Source organism: Homo sapiens, chromosome 3, assembly GCF_000001405.40.
Source record: "Homo sapiens chromosome 3, GRCh38.p14 Primary Assembly".
Classification (NCBI taxonomy): domain Eukaryota; kingdom Metazoa; phylum Chordata; class Mammalia; order Primates; family Hominidae; genus Homo; species Homo sapiens.
Window position 1 is genome coordinate 127,661,218 of NC_000003.12, and position 25,566 is coordinate 127,686,783.

The 25,566-nt window shown below is 54.5% G+C and overlaps 2 protein-coding genes across 7 annotated transcripts in view, besides 7 other annotated features; both read left to right on the forward strand.

Annotated features, from left to right (window-relative positions):
- Positions 1-11,585, forward strand: part of PODXL2 (podocalyxin like 2) — a 43,618-nt gene extending 32,033 nt beyond the window's left edge. The window contains exons 4-8 of the mRNA NM_015720.4: positions 1,020-1,094; positions 7,224-7,380; positions 7,924-7,985; positions 10,217-10,396; positions 11,051-11,585. Coding sequence (NP_056535.1) covers positions 1,020-1,094; positions 7,224-7,380; positions 7,924-7,985; positions 10,217-10,396; positions 11,051-11,263 — 687 coding nt within the window. The 3' untranslated portion in view covers positions 11,264-11,585. The remainder of the gene's footprint in view (positions 1-1,019; positions 1,095-7,223; positions 7,381-7,923; positions 7,986-10,216; positions 10,397-11,050) is intronic.
- Positions 6,578-6,759: a silencer, noted in NCBI's record as "fragment chr3:127386638-127386819 (GRCh37/hg19 assembly coordinates)". NCBI's record gives its function as "represses an EF-1alpha promoter that drives an FKBP-Casp9 reporter gene in an ReSE screen in HepG2 liver carcinoma cells {active_cell/tissue: HepG2}" and the evidence as "EXISTENCE:reporter gene assay evidence [ECO:0000049][PMID:32094911]".
- Positions 11,017-11,096: a silencer, noted in NCBI's record as "silent region_14694". NCBI's record gives its function as "represses an Ori minimal core promoter by ATAC-STARR-seq in GM12878 lymphoblastoid cells {active_cell/tissue: GM12878}" and the evidence as "EXISTENCE:reporter gene assay evidence [ECO:0000049][PMID:35858748]".
- Positions 11,107-11,706: a silencer, noted in NCBI's record as "silent region_14695". NCBI's record gives its function as "represses an Ori minimal core promoter by ATAC-STARR-seq in GM12878 lymphoblastoid cells {active_cell/tissue: GM12878}" and the evidence as "EXISTENCE:reporter gene assay evidence [ECO:0000049][PMID:35858748]".
- Positions 11,735-19,709, forward strand: ABTB1 (ankyrin repeat and BTB domain containing 1). Of its 6 annotated transcripts, none has more exons than NR_033429.2 (12): positions 11,735-11,864; positions 13,174-13,201; positions 13,328-13,383; positions 14,753-14,897; positions 15,055-15,214; positions 15,319-15,364; positions 15,750-15,866; positions 15,951-16,069; positions 16,248-16,346; positions 16,459-16,626; positions 18,768-18,968; positions 19,052-19,709. NR_033429.2 is itself a non-coding variant. In XM_006713769.4 (12 exons), exons 1-12 carry the CDS (start codon positions 11,849-11,851, stop codon positions 19,256-19,258), a joined length of 1,443 nt encoding a protein of 480 aa, XP_006713832.1. In that variant the 5' UTR covers positions 11,735-11,848; the 3' UTR covers positions 19,259-19,709. The 6 variants fall into 6 exon arrangements, 5 of the variants coding, with proteins under 5 accessions (XP_006713832.1, NP_115937.1, NP_742024.1 ...); XM_006713769.4 differs by having other exon boundaries at positions 13,128-13,236; NM_032548.4 differs by having other exon boundaries at positions 13,128-13,201.
- Positions 11,847-12,106: a silencer, noted in NCBI's record as "silent region_14696". NCBI's record gives its function as "represses an Ori minimal core promoter by ATAC-STARR-seq in GM12878 lymphoblastoid cells {active_cell/tissue: GM12878}" and the evidence as "EXISTENCE:reporter gene assay evidence [ECO:0000049][PMID:35858748]".
- Positions 21,544-22,079: an enhancer, noted in NCBI's record as "H3K4me1 hESC enhancer chr3:127401604-127402139 (GRCh37/hg19 assembly coordinates)". NCBI's record gives its function as "activates a minimal SCP1, AML or CMV promoter by ChIP-STARR-seq in naive H9 embryonic stem cells {active_cell/tissue: H9 hESC(naive)}" and the evidence as "EXISTENCE:reporter gene assay evidence [ECO:0000049][PMID:30033119]".
- Positions 23,886-23,995: an enhancer, noted in NCBI's record as "active region_20459". NCBI's record gives its function as "activates an Ori minimal core promoter by ATAC-STARR-seq in GM12878 lymphoblastoid cells {active_cell/tissue: GM12878}" and the evidence as "EXISTENCE:reporter gene assay evidence [ECO:0000049][PMID:35858748]".
- Positions 24,386-24,515: an enhancer, noted in NCBI's record as "active region_20460". NCBI's record gives its function as "activates an Ori minimal core promoter by ATAC-STARR-seq in GM12878 lymphoblastoid cells {active_cell/tissue: GM12878}" and the evidence as "EXISTENCE:reporter gene assay evidence [ECO:0000049][PMID:35858748]".

A 25,566-nucleotide genomic window follows, 5' to 3' on the forward strand; every position in this document is an offset into this window, starting at 1 on the left:
CCCAGGGCTAGTGTGGCATGGGGGCAGGATCTGCCAGGTTGAGGAGGGAGGCCCTTTCCACAGCACGTAGAACCCCATGGAACTTGTGGGGATGCAAACCTCAGGGCCAACAATGGGTGTTCTCCCCACACTTCTGTGCAAAGGCCTTTGGAGAAACTTGGTGGCCTGGCCTGGGTTTCATTTGTTCATGTGTTACCATTGCCACCCTTAGACATCTTTTGTTTTTTTTTTTTCCCGAGATGGAGTCTCACTCTGTCGCCCAGGCTGGAGTGAAGTGGGCATGATCTCGGTTCACTGCAACCTCCACCGCCCAGGTTCAAGCAATTCTCATACCTCAGCCCCCTGAGTAGCTGGGATTACAGGCATGTGCCACCATGCCTGGCTAATTTTTGTATTTTTAGTGGAGACAGGGTTTCACCATGTTGGCCAGGCTGGTCGGGAACTCCTGACTTCAAGTGATCCACCCGCTATGGCCTCCTGAAGTGCTGGGATTACAGGCATTAGCTACCGCACCCAGCCCACACTTAGACTTCTGCACTGATTCTACCAGCAGCTAGAGCTAGTGGCTGACCTGTGCTTTCCCCATCCCATCTCACCACCCTCCTCCTCCCCACCGACACCCATGTGCATAGCAGGCACAAGTCAGTGTTCACACCCACTGACACCGCAAGGAAAAGAAAGGAGCCCCAGAATATTAACAATAAACTTGCCCTTGAAAGCCAGCATGTGGGGCAAGCTCTCTGCAGCCTGGCCCCTTTGATATAGTCCCCTACTTCCTGGGAATAATGCCTGGCCTCCTCCTCTCACTCAATACATTCCCTGCTTGGTCCCCAAAGACATTCGAGTTTGTACTCCTTGGCATGGTGCCTCACAGAGGCTGTCAGCAGCCCCCTCGCTGTAATACGCCTCCACTGGCCTCCACCTTCCAGCTTCCCAAAAGGCCTCCGACCGGGGCTCTCTCCCCTGTCCCTTTCCTATGCCTTCGTAACTGTCGCCCTTCTTTCTGTCTCCTCGCACAGGTGATCTGCAAGGACTGGAGCAATCTGGCTGGGAAAAACTACATCATTCTGAACATGACAGAGAACATAGACTGTGTGAGTGCCCAGCCAGGCTCCGAACCGCAGGGAAAGGCTGCAGGCAGTGGACAGGGTGGGGCAGAGGGCAGGCTGGGGGGACAAGCAGTGCGTGGGAGAAGGCTTAGTCCTTCAGTTGGTGGCCCAGGGATATACCAGCAGCCATCAACATTACACACAGAGAGCTTTCGTATTTTAAAATGTCCAAAGGCTCTTTGGTTCTTGCTTCCCTCTCTTTTTAATTTAAATGAATACTTTGTTCATGTGTGCACCATCTTACCTCTCCCGTGATATTGAAACCTTTCTGTCTTTTTTAGAGTTGTTTTCTTCCTGTATAGGTTGCTTTTCTCCGTTTTGGGTCTCAGCCTTTTCATATATATACATGCTCTCCACACATGTCTGGTGGAGTTTGTTCATAGCTCTCTCTATCGAAAAAGTGGCTGGAAGCTTTGAGCATAGTGCTAGGGTTGTCAGCTATGGCTTCTCATGAGAGTGGTCTGGCTGGGCCGTATCACTTAGAAATTTGCAATGGCAGCATTGTTAGGTCCTTCCTCCTGAGGTGATTAGAGTCTTTGAAAAGGGAACTTCTGTTCTGTTCGAAGTATAACAAGTTGGTTGTCAGTGTTCTGGGAGCTGGGGTGGAGAGAGAGGGCTGGGTGTTTCAGTATTATAAATATGTATCCATAAATATCAATATTCATGTACTGTCTCTTCCTGTTTGCAGAGTGACCTTCTCCCTCCCCAAAACACACACTTGTGTCTGATGCTCTCTAGGTCAGAGACCCTCTGTTTTATCTTTTTTAAAGAATAAACTTCCAGTCTTCTGCCAGGGAGAAGGGACATTTCTTGGCTGTGCAGCACTGCGGGAAGAACTAGGGACCCAGCCGTTTCTTAAGCAAACTTTCGACCAGCTCATATTTTTAGTAGCATTTTCATCCCCTCTTCCAAAGGTAACCAGGGCCCCTATTCCGGGGCATCTGGGGAGTGTCAATCAGTATGCATCTGATTGCTTCTCAGCTTTCCTCATTTTGGCTTAGGGTTTGGCTCTTTAGAGTTTGCTAAATTAGGAAATTCTAACTCACCATCTGCTTCCAGTGTCTAGATTTTGTTGCTCTTGTCTCCTCTTCTGTTTTGCTTTGTCTCTGGTTTTAGGCCTTAAATTCTTTACTCTTGTTAGTGGGCCTGGGCAAGACTGAAGGGACATGCATGCGTTGAATCCAAAAGTCCCCAGCAAGGTTGGTTTCCCCCACCATCACTATACTGATGGATCTTCACCTAAGTGATGTGTGTTTTCATCCATTGCAGTTATTATTTTTACTGATGCTCAATACCTCATCTTTGGCCAGGGAAAGCCTCTTTGAGTTGGCCTCTGAGTCCTTTTGACCAATCTATTAAGTGTCTGATTGCTTCCTTGCTTTCTGGCATAATAAGACATTCCAGGCTCACCTTCCTCCCCCAGACATGGAGCCCTCATTCCCTTCATTGGGAAATGGTACATGAAGACCACAGATGGGTACTTGGGACCCTTGAACTTTTGGTGTGCATACTTGAACAATACAGCCTAAAGTTCGTATCTTTTTGCCAATCAATACATAGATATTAAGATGCTTTTATTCTGTTTTCCCTGTTTTTGTCTTCTGTGTTATTCTAATATGTGACCTCCACTCAATTAGTCATCATTATTTTTTATGGTAGATTTTTTTTATTGTAGTAAAAAACATAAAATTTTCCATTTCACCCTTTGTAAATATAAGTTCAGTTGTGTTAAGTATATGCACATTGTTGTGGAACAGAGCCCCAGAACTTTTTCATTTTCAAAGCTGAAACTCTGTACCCATTAAATGACTACCTGTTCCCCAGTCCCGGCACCCACCATTCTCCTTGCACCCACCATTCTCCTTTTGGTTTCTATGAATGGGACTACTCTGGATACCTAATAGAAGTGGAATTAGACAACATTTGTCATTTTTACATCTGGTTCATTTCACTCAGCATAATGTCCTCAGGGTTCATCCATTTGGTAGCATGTGGCAGAAATTTCTTTTTTTTTTTTTAAGGCTGAAAAATATTCCATTGTATGTATATACCACATGTTATTTATCCATGCAGCTGTCCATGGACACTTGCATTGCTTCCATCTTTTGGCTATTGTGAATAGTGCTGCTGGGAATGTGCTGTGCAAATATATCTTCAAGACTCTGTTTTTAATTATTTTGGGTATATACCCAGAAGTGGGGTTGCTGGATCATATGGTAATTCTATTTTAAATTTTTTTGAGGAATCTCCATACTGTTTTTCGCTATGAGTATACCATTTTACATTTTCGCCAGCACTAGGGTTCCAGTGTTTCCACATCCTCATAAACACTTGTTCTTTTCTGTTTTTTTAAACAGTGGCCATCCTGAGAGAAGTGAGGTATTTGGTTGGTGCAAAAGTAATTGCGGTTTTTGCCATTGAAAGTAATGACAAAACCCGCAATTACCTTTGCACCAACCTAAATGGTCTCATTGTGGTTTTGATTTGCATTTTCCCTGATGATTGGTGATGTTGAGCATTAGTCATTATTATTAACAGTCAATGCTTACTATATTTTATCAACATACTTATTAGTTTCTTTGCCAGATTCACCACTTGTTAGAATTTTTTCAAACCATTTGAGAAAAAGTTGAAGACATTATTTCCTTTTGCCCCTACCCCCAAATACATTAGTTTGTGTTTCCTCAGAACAAGAATATTCTTTTAGATAACCACAATGGAATGGTCAAAATCAGGAATTAGCACTGCTACAAAACTATTATCTGATTACCTACCTTATTTCAATTTCACCATGGTTCCAATAATGTCCTTTATAGCCTTCTTCCCTCCCATGCCGGGATATAATCCATGGTCATGCATCACATTATTTGTCTTGTCTCTTTAGTCTCCTTTAATCTGGAATAGTTCCTCGGCCTTTCTTTGCATTTAATGACCTTGACTTATTTGAAAAATGAAAGGAATAAATGTGCATAAAAACTGATGGGCTATACAGAGACTACATATTCAGAAAAAGACAGGGAGAAAAGTGCTGGCAGTCTCTTGTGGAAAGTTTTACACGATGGAACTACAGGAGTTCCAGGAGTTCAGCCCTCAAGATCTAGAGAAAGTGATGCAGGCTCAGTGGCTTCTATTTTACCTAGATGTCACAGGTAACATAGAAGAAACTGGAAAGAAGTCTAAGAAGGAAACATGAGAGGAGGAAGAAAGATAAAACAGGAAATCCAGAGGTGGTGTTTTTGAGTTCTAGAAGGCAAAAGAAATCCTTACTGTAGAGATGCAAGGATCTGATCCTTTGTCTAGCACAACAGAGAGAAGTGCTAGAGGATAAGGACAAGGAGGAGAAATATGTGGATCATCCTTTAGTGAAAATCCTGAAATAGAGCTTCCATGCAAAGGGCTGGATCATCAAGATCTGGATAAAGAAGCAGCGTTGACACAGTGATGAGGCGCCAGTCCTTTGCCTGAGGCTGCAGAGTTTCTCAGTGCATGCCACACACGTGCTTACAAGATGTTCCAGGCTGCATGGGACTTTCCTTGCCCCAGCCCCCAATTTAGCCATTTCTGCAAGGAGTCCTGCTTCCTTTTAATGAGGAAAGGTATTTAGAAACTAAGATCTGGGCCCCAGGTGTGCTCATGGCTACTGGGGTGTCACTGCTTCTAGGCCCTTCTAGAAGAACTGAGCAATATGGATCTTTATTTCTGTCTCTCTCTAGGGCATAGATATACATATATCATGTATAATGCATGTACACATATTAAAAGTACAAATTCAGTATTTCCAATTCTAATCCATCACCACTGGATGATGTCCTCCTGTGCTTACTGCTACAAACTTTAGATCTGTAGTCCATCTGGAATTAGTTTTGGTAAATGATGTCAGGTATGAATCAAGGAACTTTTTTTGTTTTCCATGGGATATCCAGTTGTCCCAGCACCTGTGATTGAATAAGTACTTTACTTATTCACAGTAAGGTAGGGTGTCAGGACCATTGCCCATGTTTTTAAATAGGGAAACTGAGGCTCAGAGAGGTACTTCTTTTTTTTTTTTTTTGCTGACATCACAGAGAGCTGACAAATGGCAGAAGCAAGATTTGAACCAATGTATTTATTTATTTTTGTCACCCAGGCTGGAGTACAGTGGCACAATGTCAGCTTACTGCAGCCTCAACTGCCCAGGCTCACGTGATCCTCCCACCTCAGCCTCCCAAGGAGCTGGGACCACAGATGTGCACCACCATACTTGGTTAATTTTTTTGCATTTTTTGTAGAGACGGAGTTTGCCGTGTTGTCTGTGCAGGAGTTGGAACTCCTGGGCCCAAGTGATCCACCTCCCTTGGCCTCCCAAATGTTGGGATTACATGAACCAGTGCACCTGGCCAGAACCCAGATTTATTTGATTCCAAAGTCAGGGCTTTTCCCCCTTGCCACGGACATTCAGTTTTCCTGTCTACATAATAAGTGGTATGAAATCTGCAGTCATCAGATCCTCCCACACTGACATTGTGGGTCTCTGGGCTTAAGCCAGGCAGACATATGTACCCAGGAAAACATGGGGTGTGCAAACACAGCAGAGCACAGAGCCACAGCACAGAGGGCAGGCACTTCATGTGGCAGGAGAGTGCTTGTTTTGTAACCAGGGGTCTGTGGGTCATGGTGCATGGACCCTTGCTCTGGCAGGGGCGGGCATGCACTCCTTCTCCCCCCATACTCAATCAGTGAATAAAGTAAGAACCATCACAGAACTAGGGGTTTCCATCTGCTCTATGGCCATCTCCAGGTACCCATCTTCTCCCACATTTAAAACTCAGTTGGCTGGCTATTAGACCAGTGAGTGCCAAGGCTTGAGCCTGAGCCTGGCATTTGCCATGGTAACAAAGAACAGAGGCCCAGCATTTCAATCCCTCTGGTAGCCTTTAGGTTGGCATGACAACTACGGAACAGCTCATTAGCCTGGGCTCTAGCAGAAGGGAGATTTGGAGTGGCAGGGGATCCTGCAGGGCTGGCCTGGTGAGATGCTCGTGCCTCCCAGTGGCGCTGGCTCTCAGCTGCATAGCAGGGCACTGTGAGAGAGCTGAGCACCTGGGAGAGGGGTATCTGCAGCAGGCTGTGGAGGCTACGAGCAGGGAATGTGTGACTGTGCATGTTCAGGAGGGAGAAGGCTGCTGGGGAGGAGCCGGAGTGAGGAGTGGCCACAGGGCCAAAGGAGGGTATCTTCCTAGATGGGGCTGGGCAGGGACAAATGGCAGGATGTGAACCAGGAGGCAGGGTTCTGGCCTGTGCCCCAGCCTGGGCTCTTGCCATTCGTTGAGTTTCTGTTTAAGGCCAGGCTCTTATTTTTGTTTTAAATTGTGGAATTACACGTACACATGGTCAAGAAAACCTCACAATACAAGCGAGTGCACGATGAGAAAAGGTCTCCTCACACCCCTCCCTCTGTTCCAGCCCAGCTCCAGGGGCTGCGGTTCCCATCTCTGTGTTTGCTCTTCTGGCCTCCACCGCCTACACAAGAGCACACAGATGGCTTCCCCACTCAACAGCTTGGGGCTGCATCTCTGCGATGACAGGCGAGAGGAGAGCCGCGTTCTGCCACTTCTGGCCCTCCCCGATTTTTGGTAGTTACATGGTGCACACCTCTTTTGGCCATCACCACTCCCACCCGCCCATGTGTTCATCCCCAGCACCATGCACTTGAGCACTAGGCACAGGGAGCAGTTCTCCCATAGGCCTTACCACTCTGTGTACCCAGTTTCTGGGCTTGTCACTGTACATGGCTGCGTGTGTGTGTGTGTGTGTGTGTGTGTGTGTGTGTGTGTGTGTCCCCAGCCCCCGCCCCGCTCAACTGCATGTGTCTCTGGGACAGGCCCCTTGACTTTCTCATGGCTAGAGGCCAGGGCAGGAAGGAGCACCTGGTGTAAGTGAACAAATGGGTGTACATCTTGGGGTTCCCACATTCCCTGGCTTGCAGCTCTCAGAGGGTCTCCAGAGTTGACCAGAGCTGCCTCTCTTGGAACAGCCAGAGGGTTGAGGGTGAGTACGGGGCTGGGCCTAGAGGCAGAGGGCTCAGTAGAGCCCCTTTCCTTCACTGAACACGGGGGGCTCTTTCTGCCCTTGTAGGAGGTGTTCCGGCAGCACCGGGGGCCACAGCTCCTGGCCCTGGTGGAAGAGGTGCTGCCCCGCCATGGCAGTGGCCACCATGGGGCCTGGCACATCTCTCTGAGCAAGCCCAGCGAGAAGGAGCAGCACCTTCTCATGACACTGGTGGGCGAGCAGGGTGAGCGAGGGCAGGTGATGGGAGGGCCCAGGAGGGCAGTGGGAGGCGGGCGGCCCCTGAGGGTCACGGGAAAAAAGTGCACGCATAAGGGCTTTGAAACTTGGAACTCCAGGACAGTAGTTTGAGCTACTTAGCTTAGTGGTCAAGGTGTACCCACCAGCTTGGGTTCTGGGGACAAGGAGGAGGGTGTGAGAATTAAGGATGGGGAACAGGAGGCAGGGGAACAGGTGTGGTCCAGCACAGGTGGGAGATGAATGGACACTGTACCTGGTGTGGCAGGGGAGAAGGGGTGTGTTCAGAAGGCAGTGTGTGGGCTTCGCAAGTGGCTGGCTGGTGTTATACAAATCGATGTTCTAACAGATCGATGCAGTGGAAAGCATGTCTAAGAGAGGGGGAGGCATGTGCCTTGAGGATCTGTGTGCAATTTGAGCCAGGAAGGGAGACAGAGGCTCAGGCCAGCTGTTGGAGAGCGGGGCCAGAGCCCTTGGAGGGGCACGCACCTCAGCCATGGTCACACTGATAGTGGTGTTTCTTACCCCCCAGGGGTGGTGCCCACTCAAGATGTCCTTTCCATGCTGGGTGACATCCGCAGGAGCCTGGAGGAGGTAAGAGTGCAGGGACCTGGACCTGTTAGCTTCTAATATGCTCCCTCCTGTCTCTGTTCCTCAAAGTCCCAGGAGTCTGCCCACATCGTGAGGTTCAAAGGAGTATAAGACAGAGCGTGCTCTGGGCAGGTTCCTTGCTTCAGGCCTCCCTTAGACATGGTTTTGTGGGAAAGACGGTGCATGTGCATGCTACCAACCAAAGGTCCAATGCAGGCAATGGCCAGGGGCAGAAAGGGGCCATGGGGGTGTGGGGGCTGTGCTAAGAGGCTGACAGTCAGGAGAGGGCCCAGAGAGGAAGGGTCTGGGGAGCAGTGAGGGTTAACTGGGAGTTTTCTGGGTAGACAGTGGCAGAGACACCATGCTGCCTGGTGGGAGGGGCGAGCATGATGGGTTCCAGAAACCAAAAGAGCAAGCCTGGGAGACCTGGACATGTGACTTGGCGTGGACGTGTGAATCTACTGGTGCTTGCACGGCCAGGCCCTGCGCTCCTGCTGCGGTGAGATGCGGCGCCTGGGGGCCAGGAGGCAGCCCTGCCATCTTAGGAGGTGCCCCCACCCAGTGCAGTCTGCTGGCTGCCTGGCCCATCCCGATCAACCTCTCCTACCCAGCTGCCGCACAAGCTTGGATGGGATGGCAGGGTCCCCCAGTCCTGCTCCTCACACCACCTTGCCTATGGGGTCCTTCTGTTCCTCATCTCACTTCTTGAGGACAGCCACCATCTCCACCAAAACTGCCTTTGCTCACTGTAGAGTCCAGTGCCCTGTCATCAGCCCTCTCCACTCCCGAAGGTGCTGCCATTTTTGGCAGGAGAGATGAGTGGTATAATGCTGGCCGCCTCTTCATCCTTGCATGCCAGGGGAGCAGAGGCCCTGGTGGTGGTGCTTTTCTGGTGAGCATGTCGAATGCCCACTGAGCACCACACTGTGCAAGGCTCTCTCCCTCAGTCCTCGCCACCACCCCATGGGGTTGTGAGGGTTAAGTGAGGCACCTGTTGAGTACCAATGGTGTCCCCATGGAAGATGAGAGCTGAAGCGGGAGAGGTTAGGTGACCTGTCTGAGATGGCACCAGCAGTAAGCGGTAGAGCCAGGCTTTGCAGGAAGCCTGATTCCGGAGCCCGGGCCTTTCACCACACTGCTCTACTGCCTGGAGGGCCACTGAGGCCCTTCCCAGTTCTGGAATCGTGGGTCCATGAACAGTGGGGCTGCTGGTGGAAGTGTGGGCTAACCTTGACCTTTTATACAGTCCTCCCCCTGCTTTTCGCTGCCCCTGAGTATTCTGGCGTTACTGGTCACTTAATTCACACTGACTTGGCCAAAAGTCATGCTGGGTCTTTGGAAATATACTCAGGTGAATCTAGCAAGAAAAACTGACCCTTGATAACAAAAAATTGAGAAAAGTACTGGAGATACACGGGTGGTTCACAGAAACCGGGGAAGAGCTGCAACCTGAACTCAGAAAGGGGGCCTGGTGCAACCTAGGCCTCAGCACTGGGAACTGCCCTGATCCCTCACCTGAGGAGCCCCTGGTGGTGCTCGCCCTCCTGCTTCTCTCTGCTAAGATGCTGATCTGTGGAGATAGCACCTGCCTGGCCCCTGGCGCCGATCTCCTTGGCCAGAGAAGGCAGGACTGACCATGACAACCTGCAGCGTGGAGGGATGCAGGCAGCTACATGCCAGCAGTGAACACGCCATGGGAAGGGAGGAAGCTGGGCAGCCGGGGTGGCCCCCCATGTGGCCTGCATGCCCTCAGTATCCCTCCCTGCACCGGCCCTGGCATCAGGAAGCTGACTGGTCCACCCCTCCCCACCGAGGTGGAAGCGGTTGTATGGTGGAGGATGTGTGGGGGGCTCACATCTCCTGTCTCTCTAACTAGTTAGGATAGGTGTGGGCACTCTCTCTAGTTGGATGGTGTCCAGCAGCATGGGTCCACTCTCACTGGAGGCCTAGGGCCACAGTGAGCTCAGACTCAGCGGCTGGGGCAGAAGCTATGGTGGGATGTGAAGGAGGCTGGGAACATGGGCATGGGGTGGAGAGGCCTCCAGGTGTACTGAGGCAAACGGGATGGGCATGGGGTAGAGGCAAGCCCAGGCGCCAGGGAACTTCAGGAGCCGGGAGTGCCAGCACCTTCTAAGCCTGCTCCCCCATCCCCACCCGAGCCCAATGCAACCACCCCAGAGGAGCCATGGCACCCCAGGACCTCAGCTGAGGAAACTGGCCCCTCCCACCCCTAGATTGGCATCCAGAACTATTCCACAACCAGCAGCTGCCAGGCGCGGGCCAGCCAGGTGCGCAGCGACTACGGCACGCTCTTCGTGGTGCTGGTGGTCATTGGGGCCATCTGCATCATCATCATTGCGCTTGGCCTGCTCTACAACTGCTGGCAGCGCCGGCTGCCCAAGCTCAAGCACGTGGTGAGTGTGGGGACAGGTGGGGCTGGGGGCCAGTTGAGAGGAGAGTGCCCATCGATAGGTGTCCTCATCTGCAAGGGGAGGCAGTGACTCTCCTGGGCGCACAGGGTCCCGTGGGTGAAGCAGCTGGTCAGCCTAGCACTGCTGACTGCTCTGCAGGGCACCAGCCCCAGGACAGGTGCCAGAGGTGCAGGGAGTGAGGGGGCTGCTAGCCCCACCAGGGGGCCCCTCCCTGGCACCACCAGCCCCTTTCCGGCGCAGGCACTGCAGGGCCTGAGCACCTGAATACCTCACCAGAGGCAGGCCCTGCGTTGGTGGTGCCCAAGGATCAAGGAGAGGCTCCAGCAGCCTAGAGGCCTCCCCAGGAGGAAGCGAGCAGAGCCCTAGCGATGCTCCCTGCCCACCTCGCAAGTGGAGTCTTCTTAGGGGGCTGTTGGGGGATCGATGACGTCAGGGAGGCCACGGGGCTTTGTAGTGCCAACGACTAGTAGGTTTATTTTGAGAAAGGAGTTGAGCTGCAGCAACAGAAAAGAAGGATCTGGCACCTGTGGAGGGTGCCGCGGGAACCCCCTGGGTGGGGTTGCACAGACGGCCGCGGGCCTGGCGCTGTCCGGGGGCTGGCTCGCTCGCCCATGGCCTCTCCCCACCCCGCCTCAGTCGCACGGCGAGGAGCTGCGCTTCGTGGAGAACGGCTGCCACGACAACCCCACGCTGGACGTGGCCAGCGACAGCCAGTCGGAGATGCAGGAGAAGCACCCCAGCCTGAACGGCGGCGGGGCCCTCAACGGCCCGGGGAGCTGGGGGGCGCTCATGGGGGGCAAGCGGGACCCCGAGGACTCGGACGTGTTCGAGGAGGACACGCACCTGTGAGCGCAGCCGAGGCGCAGGCCGAGTGGGCCGCCAGGACCAAGCGAGGTGGACCCCGAAACGGACGGCCCGGAGCCCGCACCAGCCCCGCGCCTACCCGGGCCGCCCCCGCGGCCTGGCCCTCGGCGCGGGCTCCTTCCCGCTTCCCCCGACTTCACACGGCGGCTTCGGACCAACTCCCTCACTCCCGCCCGAGGGGCAGGCCTCAAAGCCCGCCTTGGCCCCGCTTTCCCGCCCCTGAACCCCGGCCCCGCGGGCGGCGGGCGGCGCTTCCTGCGCCCCGGGACTCAATTAAACCCGCCCGGAGACCACGCCGGGCCCAGCGCGTCTGCCTTCTTGACTCATTCTTATTTCCGGGGTTGGGGCGGGGCGGGGCGGGCGGGGCACCCCGGGGCAGGGGCGGGGCCGCGGGGCGGGGAGGCCGGGGCGGGCGGGTCCTCCGGACGCCGCTGCAGAGCGGGGCGGGGCGGGGCTGAGCGTGTTTACATCCGCCGGGTGCGCGGCTTCGCCGCCCGAGGTCGTTCGGCTCGGGTACCATCCTCCGCGCCATGGACACCAGCGACCTGTTCGCCAGCTGCAGGAAGGGGGATGTGGGCCGAGTGCGGTGAGGACCTCGCAGTCCCGGGGAGGGTGCGGGAGGTGGCCGCCCTCGGAACGCCTCGGGCCCTGGGACGGGCGGCTGGGCGGCCGCGGAGAGGCGGGCGCCTCTGCCGGGTCACAGCCCTCGGAGCGCCCCCGCGGGGCAGACCACCCGGACCCCCGCCGCAGCCCCCCAGCGGAAGCGCGCTGGGGCGGGGACACTGATGGCCATTGACCCCCGGAGGGCTTCCTGTAAGAAGGGACTGCTCAGCGGAGGCCCGAAGGCGCAGAAGTGGGCGGAGAGAAGGCGGGCCACTGTTCGCCCTGGTAGGGCCCGGACGTCAGACCCCCCGGGCGCAGGGCGCGGGTATAGGCCTGGGACTCCAGACGTGGCCCCTTTCTCTCGTGCTCTCTGGACCTGGCGCGGGGAACACCTAGAGCCCATAATCGGCCTCCGGTCCCTGAGGATTCGGAAACTCCTGACGCAGCTAAAGTGAATCTGGCGCTGAGATGCCCCCTCCATGGGCCGGACGCGGAGGGAAGGGGTGCCCAGTTGGGTTCTGGGGCCCTTCCCCTCCTTGGGCTTCCACTATCCCGTTTGACCTCCTTTTTTCTTGGCCCTTCCTCCCCCTTGACCTGGTGCTGACTGACTGCTTCCACCTCCCCTGGGCTGGCGCCGGGCTGCTGTACTCCCGTAGCCTCCCTGGGCCGCTCCCTGACATCCCGTGCCACTCAAGAGTTAGTGCATAGTGTCAACGCTGAGTGGGTTCACAGCACTTCCAGGTGCAGCCTGGAGGCCTCCTTTGGGCTGCCCCCGCCTCAGTGGGGCTGCATTAGCATTGGCGACTCCCCTCGCTCACCTTCCGCATCCCATCAGTTGCTGTATCCCGCGACTCCTGCCTCCTAGAATTGTGTGCCCTCCACACCATCAGGAGGCCTGCAGCAGCTTTTTCCCGGGCTCCCTGCTTCTAACAGGGCCAGCTTCTTCCTGCAGTAGAGAGCTCTGGTGGGAGTGAAGGCTCCATCACCTCCTCTCCCAAACGCTGAAAGGCCAAAGGTCCAGCCTCGGCACTGGCTCTGGCTTCTGTCCCTGTAGCCCATCGTCCCCCAGCACTGATAGCACACAGTGTCTGCCTGTTCGACCCCACCTCCACATCCTTGCCTGCACTTTGCCTTGAGTGCCTCTCCTGCTCTGGTCTGCCTGTCACCTGCCCTCACCTGGGGGAGGCTTCCCCATACCAAAAGGGATGTTTTCTCTCCGTTCCTTTCCACGGGCCTTCTTTCTCAGACCATGAACCCGTCCTGACCCAGGCTCTGACCTCCTTCCTGCCCAGGTACCTGCTGGAGCAGCGAGACGTGGAGGTGAATGTGCGGGACAAGTGGGACAGCACCCCCTTGTGAGTGCTGGAGAGAGGGGTGGGGAGGGTGGGGGTTGGTGCACCCCTTCAGCACTGAGGACTGCCTCCTGTACTTCCTTCCTCCCTTCAGGTACTATGCCTGCTTGTGTGGGCACGAGGAGCTGGTACTCTACCTTCTGGCCAATGGTGAGAGCAGGGAGCCCGGCTCACGGGTGTGCGTGGGTGCATGCATGTGTGCGTGTGGGTGCATGCATGCGTGCGTGCATTCAAAGGCCTTGATACACATTTGCAAAGCACCACGATTCCTCTCTTACCACCCAGTCGAATCAGCAAGTACTATTATTGCTACTTTAAAACCTTTTCTCTGTCCACCTTGCCCATCTCTACTTCTACGACCTGGGCCCAGTCATCAGCATTTCTCCCCGGACACGGTGCCTGCCTCTCTCTTGCCATTGCAGCCAAGTTGATCTTTTCACAATGAATCTGATCGGCTAAAAATCCTCCAGCAAGTTCCCATTGCCTCTAGGATACAGTGAGCCTGCCTGGCCATGCCCAAGGCTCCACAGGGTCTGCCCTCCCACTGGCCTCATTCCTTCGGCTCTCCCTGCTTGCTTGCTGCTTGCTTGCTGCTACACTGGCCTCGCTGGGGCTCCACTGTGCTATGCATGCCCCTGTTCCTGCCCCAGGGCCTTTGCACCTGCAGTTCCTCCTGCATGGACTGCCGTTCTGCAAACGTTCACATGGCCCACTCCCCCTTCATTCAGGTCTCTGCATGCTGCCACCATTACAGAGTGACCTTTCATGACTTCCCTTCATTCAGTGCCATTCTTCTTCCTATTTTGGTTTTTTCTTTTTTTTTTTTTTTTTTTTGGAGACAGAGTCTTGCTCTGTCACCCAGGCTGGAGTGTAGTAGTGTGATCTCGGTTCACTGCAGCCTTAACCTCCCAGGCTCAAGTGATCCTCCTGCCTCAGCCCCTTCAAATCTTCAAATAGCTGAGACTACAGGCGTGCACCACCACGCCCGGCAAGTTTTTGTATTTTTTTTGCAGAGATGGTGTCTCACTATGTTGCCCAGGTTGGTCTCAAACTCCTGAGCCCAAGTGATCCACCTACCTTGGTCTCGCAAAGTGCCTGGATTATAGGTGTGAGCTGCCACGCCCAGGCTTGTTTTTCTTAATAGTCCCTGCCATCGTTAGGTAGTGGGTTGATTGTCCTGCCTCACTAGAGTATAAGTTCAGCAGGACAGGGACCTGTGTCTCGTTCACTGCTGTGCTCCAGTGTGTGGGACAAGCCCAGCCACCAAGTCAGCTCTCCGTTCTGTGTTGTCTGTCTTCCGTGTGAGTGAGTATGTGCCTGTGTGAGTGCACACAGACGTGCCCATTCGCCTAGCCCTTGACTGGGAGGGTGTTGGGGTCAGAGTGGGCCCAGGGTAATTTGGGAAGGCATCGCCAGAGATTCGGAGCCCCATGTGTGGGAAGGTGGGGAGGAGGGACAGGGAGATTAGAATTTCCCCCAGGCCCCTTCCCTGCTAACTGGTGAGCCCTGCCTCCCCCAGGAGCCCGCTGCGAGGCCAACACCTTCGATGGTGAGCGCTGCCTCTATGGGGCACTGAGTGACCCCATCCGCCGGGCTCTACGCGATTACAAGCAGGTCACGGCTTCCTGCAGGAGGCGGGATTACTATGACGACTTCTTGCAGCGGTGAGCCAGGGCACACGAGGGGTGCAGCATGGGGTGCGGTGGCCCTGGTGGGTGTGGCGAGTCTGCTCTGACTGTGGCCTGCACTGGGTTCTGAGTGCTCCGAGGAATGGGGTGGGGCTGTGCCAAGTATCCTCCCTCCTGGCTTGTCCCTCCCCAGGCTTCTAGAGCAGGGCATCCACAGTGACGTGGTCTTTGTAGTACACGGGAAGCCATTCCGGGTGCATCGCTGCGTCCTGGGTGCACGTAGTGCCTACTTTGCCAACATGCTGGACACCAAATGGAAGGGCAAGAGTGTCGTGGTTCTCAGGCACCCACTGGTATGTCCCTTCAGGGTGGCAGAGGGGCATGAACTGTCCAGGAACAGCAGGAGGTTGTGCTGGGTGGCTGCCTCTGACATTACTTTCTGGTTTTCTGCCCACAGATCAACCCCGTGGCCTTTGGGGCCCTGCTGCAGTACCTGTACACAGGTGACCCCCTGGGTCCAGGGTAGGAGGAGAGGGAGTGGGCCGTCCTTCTGGACAGCAGTACACCTAGGTGTGGCTGGGCTGACCTTTCACCTCTAGACACTTCATGGTCCCCCCGGGGTGGTTCCAGCTGCCTCTCGGGTTGGGTTGCAAGAGAGAGGACTAGTGTGCCTGCTCAGGAAGAGCTTGTCCCACCCACATGCTGAGGCCCTCCCATCTGTTCCCTGGGGCCTGTAGAACAGCTTTTGATGGGGAAACCATGGTGGCAAGTGGGCCCAGGAGTCCTAGTCCTGCAGCCAGGTGGCCAGGTGGGAGGGGATCACCCTTTTTCTGTGGGCCTGATGACAGCTGAGGTCCCGCAGGCCCTCATCCTCCCCACTGCCCCCAGGCCGCCTGGACATTGGCGTAGAGCATGTGAGTGACTGTGAGCGCCTGGCCAAGCAATGCCAGCTGTGGGACCTGCTCAGCGACCTGGAGGCCAAGTGCGAGAAGGTGTCTGAGTTTGGTGCGAGCAGGGTTTGGGGCCCGGGGCCATGGGTGCGGCCTGGCAGGGCTGGCCTGGCTCCCTGAAGTTGTTCTTCCCCTGTAGTGGCGTCTAAGCCAGGCACGTGTGTGAAGGTGCTGACCATCGAGCCCCCACCTGCAGACCCCCGCCTCCGGGAGGACATGGCGCTGCTGGCCGATTGTGCCCTGCCCCCCGAGCTCCGAGTAAGTGCGGGGCTGGTGGGCAGGAAGGGCGTTTTGGGATGGCAGGCCGTGACAGGCAGCCCAGATACTTGGGCTCAATTCCTTGTGTGGTCCTGGACCAGTTACTTCCCTTTTCTGAACCTAGTCGTTCACTTCTGTGAACAACTGCTCTGATGGGGTCACCTCTTCTGTACCCCAGGGTGATCTTTGGGAGCTGCCCTTCCCTTGTCCTGACGGCTTCAACAGCTGCCCTGACATCTGCTTCCGAGTGGCTGGCTGCAGCTTCCTCTGCCACAAGGTGCCTGTGCCCTCCTGTTGCCCCTGGCCCCAGCCCGTTGCCCTGAGCCCCCGTCTAGCTCCTCAGGAGACAGACCCTGGCCCTCACACTTCCTGAGCCCGGCCTCCCCCAGGCCTTTTTCTGTGGCCGCAGTGACTACTTCCGAGCCCTGCTGGATGACCACTTCCGAGAGAGCGAGGAGCCAGCGACCTCAGGGGGCCCCCCAGCCGTCACCCTGCATGGCATCTCACCCGACGTCTTCACTCACGTGCTCTACTACATGTACAGCGACCACACTGAGGTGGGGGCTCAGGCAGAGCTGGGGATGGCACACAACCTGTGCTGCCGTGGGCTGAGAGGGAGCGCCAGGGCCCTGGGGGTCTGTGGAAGGGCCCAGCTGGCCCCATGGTTGACGTTTTGAGAAGGCTGGAGGGGAAGGCTGTGGGACTTTGGATTTTTCTTTCAGGTAGAGGAAGCCTTGTTGGGCTCCAGAGAGAGGATGAGTGATGAGCCTGTGTCACAGACACTCCACACTTGTCAGCCACTTGGGATCCTCAGCTTCTCTAGCAGGAGGGTGGAGGGTGGGTGGGGACAGCCTCCTCTCTGTGGTGCTGCAGATCCCTGGGGTTCTGGGTTCCCAGTCTCCTCTTCCCTTGCTGCCTGCCTCTGTCTCCAGCTGCCCCAAGGTGTCCGTAAGCCAAGGCTGCAGGGCAGCAGCAGAGTGCTGAAGGTTTGCTCTGCCAGGGTGTGTGAGAGAGAGAGAGAGTGTGTGTGTGCGTGCGCGTGCGCGCGCACTATAAAGCAATCCCCATATCTGGTGGCTTAAAGAAGAGGGGAGTTTGTTTCTCCTTCACTTCTGACTGAGGTGGGTGCCCCAGGGCAAGTGGCTTGCGGAAGATCAGGTCATCCCTCCATCTTGCCCCTGTATGCCTAAGGGTGAAGGTCAAAAACCTTTTCTCTGAAGGTGAGTGTTTCAGGTTCTGTGGGCCATATGGCCCTGTTGTAGCTACTCAACTCTGTAGCGCAAAGGTAGCCAGAGACAGTACAGAGATGAGTGGGTGAGGCTGCATTCCAATAAAACTTTACTTGCACAAACAGGCTGGATTTGGTCCACAGGCCGTAGCTTACCCATCCTGCCTGGGGCATCGCGTTTGGCCATGGAGATTGGGTCCTAGGCAAACTCATGCTCTAGGAGGAAGAGGAAGGCAGGGCAAGCAATGCTGTTTTTGTAGAAGCCACCGGAAATTGCACCACTTCTCATGTTCCCCTGGAGAGAACTTCGTGCCTACCTGCCAACAAGGGAGGCTTGGAAAGTCATTCTGTGGCCAGGGCCCTGTTTTGTGGGGGAAGGGGAGGAAGCATGCTGGGAGACAGAGGGCAGTCCCTACTGCTGCTCTATCTCCAGTGGCAGCTCCCTTGTCCATCCCTCCGCGCGGCCTGACAGCCCCTCAGCCTCCATCTTTCCCACCCCCTCTACTGGGCATCTCCTGCAGCTCAGCCCAGCTCTCTGGCCCCTGTAGCAGGGGTTACCTTTGCCCACCCTGGAGAAGCTCCCTCTTCAAGGAGCCTCGCCACCCAAAGGGCACCTTGTCTCAGAGTGTGGCTTGGGCTCTTAACCTGGGTTGATACTGGTTGAGCTGTGTGACACTGGGTGAGCTTTGTGATCTTGGGCCAGTTACTTAACTGCTCTGTGCCTCTAGAACATGGGGATAGCTCTCGTCGTCACTTCCTAAGGCCTTGTGCAGATGCATGGGTTACCCAGGTAAAGGAGGTGGCATGGCACATGGCACATGGCTTGTAATGTGGTCGCAGAGCTCCCCTTGTCTCTGTCTGCAGCTTGCTCCCTGTGCCACCCAGGCTCTGGCCTGAATCTGAGGGCTTCAGTCTTATCCAGCACAGGATGTATCTGTAGGTGGGCTCTGTGTCCCCACAGCCTCTTGAGAGGGAGGGAGCTGGTAGATAGTCTCCCACCCCTGGCAGAGTCCCTGCATAGGTCTTGACTAGCTGCCTCTGTCCCACCATTCTGACAGCCCCCGCAGGTAGGCATGGTTATCTATACCTCATGGACTGGGAACTAGAGGCACAGGGAGGTGCAGTGACTTGCCCAGGGCCCCACAGCTAGAAGTGTCAGACCCAGGTCTGTATAACTCGGAGCTCAGACCCTGGCTCCTGCGAGGGCCCTGCCTCCCGCCTGCCCTGCCAGCCTGCTCAGGGCATGGGAGAACCCCCCAGTCTTCTGCCCCCTAGCGGTCCTGCAGATCCCTGTGGGAATCTGGGCCAGCCCCCCGACCCCCAACCCCATACATGCGCAGGGAGCTCCTACTCCCACTGGAAGCCTTCCCGCCAGTGCCCCCCAACCACCACAGGCCCTAGCCTTGGCTGTTGTGCCCTGGGAGCCCTTGGTGACCTCGGGGGGCACCTTCATCCCTGTCTTCACTGCAGCTGTCCCCCGAGGCAGCCTATGATGTGCTGAGCGTCGCCGACATGTACCTGCTGCCAGGCCTGAAGAGGCTGTGCGGCCGCAGCCTGGCTCAGATGCTAGACGAGGACACTGTGGTGGGTGTGTGGCGCGTGGCCAAGCTCTTCCGCCTGGCGCGGCTTGAGGACCAGTGCACTGAGTACATGGCCAAGGTCATTGAGAAGGTGGGCCAGTGGTCTGCAGTGGGTGGGAAGGAGGGGTGAGAGGGCAGGCACCCCTCCACTGAGCTGGCCCTTCCCGCTCATAGCTGGTGGAGCGGGAGGACTTCGTGGAGGCGGTGAAGGAGGAGGCAGCGGCTGTGGCAGCCCGGCAGGAGACGGACTCTATCCCGCTGGTGGACGACATCCGCTTCCACGTGGCCAGCACGGTGCAGACCTACAGCGCCATAGAGGAGGCGCAGCAGCGTCTGCGGGCACTCGAGGACCTGCTCGTGTCCATCGGTCTGGACTGTTGAGCCCCTGGCTGGGCAGCCCCAGGGGCCAGGAGCTCTCTTGGAGACAAGCATGTGTATGCGTTTGTGTGCAGCTCTTCTTCCTGCTCCCTGCACATTGAGGGCTTCATGGGGGGTGCGAGGGGCTCAGTGGGGCTTCTCTTCCCTCCATGAGCCTGGAGACCCCAGGGGAGGATCCATTTGGGATGAGCCCCCTCCCCCCAATGCACAAGCCAGCCCCCAAGACCCTGGGGGTGGACACCACTCAGGGAAACCTGGGGTGGGGGTGGGCTTTGGTCTTAGCACTTTCCTTCTCCAGATCCCCCCTACCCACCCCAGTCCCAAATCCAGTCCTCTGGCCCTTGCCTAGCCCTGAATTGCTTCTCTAAGCTGGTGTTCCCATGCACAGGGCCATTCAGGAAGGGCTGGGGGAGTGTGTGTGGCAATAAAGCTTGAAGGCACCGTGGGAGCATGAGCCTGTGTCCTGGGGTACAGCTTGGGAAGGGTGGGGCCTTCTGGAGCCAGTGGAGCTGGTGTGACCAAGGAAAGAAGCTCTAGAGTTGGGGGCTCCCAGCAGAGGCTGGCCCAGAGCCCAAGGGCCAGGGTACCTGGCTGAGCAGACCTAGAGATCTGCCACTGACCCCAGTGTGGCCTGGGCCCATCCTGGCTCCCTGCCTCCCTGTCTCCATGGATGCTGGTTGTGGTGGGCCTCATTCTAGGAGAGGGCCAGGACCAAAATGACCATTTTCTGTCAGCCCAGTGCCAGTCTTTTCCCCAGGGAGGACCTTGTGGCCCTTCCTGCAGGGGCTGCTACCTTATTATGGGAAGGTAAGCTGCAGGGGCCAAGGGAGACCTTTCTCCTTGGCCCTCTGAAGGTTCACTGAAAAATTAACTTGCAAAAGGCAGAGTAACAGGAGAAAAGACACGCAAATTTATTTAGCATGTAGACATGGGCGTCTTCAGAATGAAGACCCAAAGATGGGAAGCTGTCCATTGTTAGGCTTAGGCTCAGCAAAGTGTGGCCAGCCGAGTAGAAATGGGATTGGCAAAAAGTGCAGGATCCTATGCTGACTGAACAGGGAAATGCAGCCAGGCCTGTCTAGATTCTTCTTGGTCTCTCTGAGCAGCCTGCCTGCCTACCTTCTGGGTGTGGGGCAGGACCCTCTGGAATGGGGGTCTTATGACCTATAGTCAAACAAGGTGGATCAGATTATTACTTTATGGCCAGTTTTTACACAGATACGGCAGAGGGAAAGTGAGAGTCCTGTTTTTAGGTTTTATGGCTGGCTTTGGGGAAAGGGGGCTCTGGTTTCTAGGGCCCGCCTAGGGGAAGAGGGATTCTAGTTTCTGTGGCTAGCCTCGGGATGATGAGACTGAGAGAAGGGGGCAAAAGTTCAGAGAGAAGCTCCTGCTTCTGAGGTTGTTGCTTGGGTCTTCATTTTGGGGTATTTGAGCCCCAAGGGGGTTTCTCACGATGAGCTGCAGGCCTGTGGACCGCCCCCCCACCAGGCCTCTGCCTTCTAACCTGGTTAAACTCAGTGTCGTGTCATGGCCCTGGGGGAGGAAAGGAAGGCTGGTTCTTTCACAGGGCTTCTAATATCGGGTGTCTCCACCCTCCCTGCAGTTATTTCACAGCTGTTCATGCTTTTTTTTTTTTTTTTTCTTTTCAGACGGATTCTCGCTCTGTCGCCCAGGCTGGAGTGCAGTGGTGCGATCTTGCTTGGCTCACTGCAACCTCCACCTCCCGAGTTCAAGCAATTCTGCTCAGCCTCCTGAGTAGCTGGGATTACAGGTGCACACCACCATGCCCGGCTAATTTTTGTATTTTTAGTGGACACAGGGTTTCGCCCTGTTGGCCAGGCTGAGCTTGAACTCCTAACCTCAGGTGATCCGCCTGCCTTGGCCCCACAAAGTGTTGGGATTACAGGTGTGAGCCACCATGCCCGGCCTCTTCATGCCTTTTTACTATGGTATTTTTGGATTTTTTCCCTTTTTCCTCCCCAGTGCATTTTCAGCCATGTTGCACTGGCATGTTGGTCGTCACATGGGGGAAGTTGTAGGTCTGAAGTGACCACTAGTGAGGGATCAGCTGGGACAAGTCATGGTGCAGCCTGCAGGAGGTGATGAGTGTGTTGGGGAGGTGTCCTGGGTAGGGCCTGTGGGTGGAGATTGTAGTTTGTGCAAGGGCCTGGGATCCTGAAAACAGCCTGAGATGGGATGGGCTGGCGGGGGTCTGCGCATTGCCAGAGCTGAGCTGCGGCCAGAGGACCAACCCCACCGTGGGTCTGCCTTTCACTGCTGGCCACCGCTCTGCCTGTTTGCCCGCCCACAAACTGGGGGTGATTATGGCAACTCCCTCTTACCTAGTGTTTGACCTATCCTGAGCCTGGTGTGTTAAACAAAGGCTGAGTCCACCTGGTGGGTGGGAGGTGGGAGCACGGGAGTGACAGGGGCTCACTCCGGTTGCCCTGGGGCACACAGGAAGGGAAGAGTGAGGCCAGGCTAGTGGCCTAACACCAGCAGGTCTCACCTCAGAGCACACACAAATCCTGGTGTGCCAAGAGAGATTTAAATATTTAAATAAAAAATTTTAATTCCTATGCATTTCTTTTCATATGCATTAGGGGAGAAAATGAGCTACTACATGAAACCTTTTTTTACAGATGTTATTATTTGAAATCATAAAGTTTCCAATCTTGAACAAATTTTAAATAAAACCCTAGTAAGAGGGCAGTTTAAGGAAAAATTATCTGGAGTTGGTATTTTAGTGGTTCACTGATACAGCAGATACATACAGCCAGGTGTACCAGCTATGGCACCTGTTCAGGGAGAGCTGCAGTCTGAGAACTGCCACCCCTCAGGAACTAGGCTGTGTGGTTGTTGGGGCAGCATTCCCCAGCCACACCACACCATTTCTCACTTTATTTTATTTTATTATTTTATTTTATTTTATTTTATTTTTTTGAGACGGAGTCTAGCCCTTTTACCCAGGCTGGAATACAGTGGTGTGATCTCGGCTCACTGCAACCTTTATCTCCCAGGTTCAAATGATTCTCGTGCCTCAGCCTCCAGAGTAGCTGGGGCTACAGGCGCCCACCACCATGCCCAGCTAATTTTCATATTTTTAGTAGAGACATTGTTTCACCATGCTGGCCAGGGTGGTCTCGAACTCCTGACCTCAAGTGATCCGCCCGCCTCAGCCTCCCAAAGTGCTGGGATTACAGGCATGAGCCACTGCACCCGGCCCCATTCCTCACTTTAGCCTCAGGCAGAGAAGACAGCGCGATGGGGAAACACTTATGTAGGAAGGTGTCCAATGCGGTATTGCAAATCAACAGGAAGCATTGCCAGCAGCCGCAGCGAGCAGCAAGTGGGGAAGGAACAGAGAGCATGGATGCGCAGAGCTTCCTGTAACTACGAGGGTGGTCAGTGAAGCTTCTGTGTCCACAAGGAAAAGGTGGAGGACATTCAGGCACTAGGGGGTGCTCCCCAGGCTTATGTGAGAAACCTGTAGCACAGACAGCCACACAGGAGTAGTGAACTACAACCATGGAATTTGAAATTTAGTGTCTAATACTTGGTTCTAAAATTGGGTTGATTTAAATTCAGAAGTGTGCTCTACTCTGACAAATGTTAAAATAGACTAATAGAAGACACATTTTGACACAGAGGCCCTGGGTTTGAGACTCCTCCATCATCCCTAAACCAGAGGAAGAGTTGCTGCGTGAGAGCTGGGGATATTTGATCTGATTTCTGTTTAGTTTCTGTAATGTAGCTGTGCTACCTTTAAAATTAAAAATAAAACAAAACATGTTTATCTCTTTAATTCATTCCCACTCCCAGGTGAAAAAAAAATTTTATTGTTGAATGAAAAATATTTTCATCATGTGTTATTGGAAAAATTATATGTATTCTCTCCCAACTCAAGATACCCACAAATTTTTAACAGACAGAAAAATAGACTGGTGGTTCACGCCTGTAATCCCAGCACTTTGGGAGGCTGAGGCAGGAGGATGGTCTGAGCGCAGGAGTTTGAGACCAGCCTGGGCAGCACACTGAGACTCTGTCTTTCCAAAAAATAAAAAATTAGCCGGGTGTGGTGGCGCGAGCCTGTAGTCCCAGCTACTCTAGAGGCTGAGGTGGGAAGGTAGCTTGAACCCAGGAGGTTGAGGCTGCAGTGAGCTGTGACTGCACCACTGCACTCCAGCCTGGGCAACAGAGTGAGACGCTGTCTCAGAAAAAAAAAAAGAAAAATCAACTGGACAATGACAAAATGAGCAATGATGGAAAGGAAATAAACTCCATTTTGCACAGGAAAGGTAGTATAGGGATGGCTTGTTGACCCACCAGAAGAGGAAGAAGAGTGAAGGTGGGGCTGGGCAACCCTCTACCTAAAGCCCCCAACCGACAGGTGGTCCTCTCCCGCAGCAACTGCTGCTCTGAGGGTCTGCTCCCTGCTGTGGCTGGTCTTGGACGCTGCATCATCTGCTGCTGACCCCTTTAGTGACACCACCCTTGGTTAGGTGCAGCTGTTTCCTGCAGGGCCCCGAATGACCATGCCCTTCACACCTGTGCTCCAGCCATCCTGAGAGTCTCTCAGTTTTGGGGCCGCCCTGAGCTCTCTGCACCTCGAAAACTCCCCCGCAGACCCCTCTGCTGTGCCCCCAACCCCGGCCCGCTCCTGCTCACCTTTGGCTTCTGGAGGGCTGTGCTGGCCCCAGGCTGTGCTGGCGGACACTGGGTGCCCATCGCTGTTAGGCTCTGGGGTGGGAGTCCATGTCGCCCGGGGTCCTTGTTCTGTGAGGGCGGCCCACCTTGTTCTGCCCTGGTCACCGTGCAGCGCTGGGTTCCTCCCAGCGCTGGACACCGTGCCTGGAGCATCACAGGTGCCCAGTAAGGGGCTTGTGATGAGCCTGAGTGTTCATGGAGGAGGCTGGAAAAGCCAACAAATGCAAACATTGTTGGCTCTAGGTTTGATACAGTGAAGTTCCAGGCAGAATTTGGTTGGCCATAAGTAGAGCATGAGGACGTGGAGAGAACGGGCTGTCCTTCAGGTCTGCACACCTTTGGGGGACCTTCTGCACAGAGGCCAGGTGCCACCCACCCAGGGCCTGAGTGGTTTGCAGGGTCCAGTGCAAAACAGCACGTGGGGACCTTGCTCAAAGAGCATTAAGAATTTCCAGAGAGCAACAGTAGAGCACTCACCCAAACGCACGGACCTTCTAGGGTGGGGTCTGGGCCTCTGCATGGGTGGCCAGGCTGCGAGGCCAACCCTGCTTCCACACCCAGTTCCCAGCTCAGTGCCTGGCTCAGATAAAGCCTTCCTGCCTCCTTCCTCCCTCTTTCCATCCCTCTCTCCCTCCCTTGGCCACTCATTCATTCCTTCATCACTCCCTCACTCAACCATTCTCTCGCTCACTCATTTCCTCATTTATTCATCCCCTCACTCATGGACTCATCCATTCTCTGATTCTTTCATCCCCTCACTCATTCCCTCATTCATTCTCTCTCACTCATTCTCTCATTTATTCATCCTCTCACTCATTCACTAACTCATCATTCTCTTATTTCCTCTCATTCATTCCCTCATCACACATTCCCACGCTCACTCATTCCCTCATTCATTCATCCCCTCATTCATTCATCCCCTCATTCATTCTCATTCATTCATTCTCTCAATTCTCACTTATTTATTCATCCCCTCACTCATTCACTCATCCATTCATTCTCTCACTCATTCCCTCATTTATTCATCGCCTCACTCATTCACTCATTCTTTCACTCATTTCCTCACTCATCCATTCTCTCACTCATTCACCCATTCATTCATTCTCTCACTCACTTCCTCACCCATCCATTCCCTCATCACACATTCCCTCACTCATTCCCTCATTTATTCATCCCCTCACTCATTCACCCATTTATTCTCTCATGTCTTCACTTGCTCATTCATTCCCTTACTCATCCATTATCTCATTCATCACTCATTTCCTCACCCACTCATTTCCTCAGTTCATCCCCTCATTCATTTTCATTCATTCACCCATTTCCTCACTCACTCATCCCTCATTCATTCACTTGTCTCTCATTCCCTCACTCATTCATTTTCTCTCATTCCCTCATTCTTGTTCCTTCATTCATTCATCCCCTTGTTCACTCATGCTCTCACTCATTCATTCCCTCATCCATTCTCACTCATTCCCTCATCACTCATTCCTTCATTCATTCTCTCATTTCCTCAGTCATTCCTTCATTTATTAATTCCCTCCCTCATTCATTCATTCATTTTCTCACTCCTTTCCTCATTCATTCCCTAACTTATCCATTCTGAT

Excerpts from the sequence above, each read along its gene's own strand:
- ABTB1 (XM_006713769.4), top strand. Across the intron at positions 15,365-15,749 it reads GCTGCAGTACCTGTACACAG|GCCGCCTGGACATTGGCGTA; the intron begins GTGACCCCCTGG and ends CACTGCCCCCAG. Across the intron at positions 16,347-16,458 it reads GCAGCTTCCTCTGCCACAAG|GCCTTTTTCTGTGGCCGCAG; the intron begins GTGCCTGTGCCC and ends GGCCTCCCCCAG.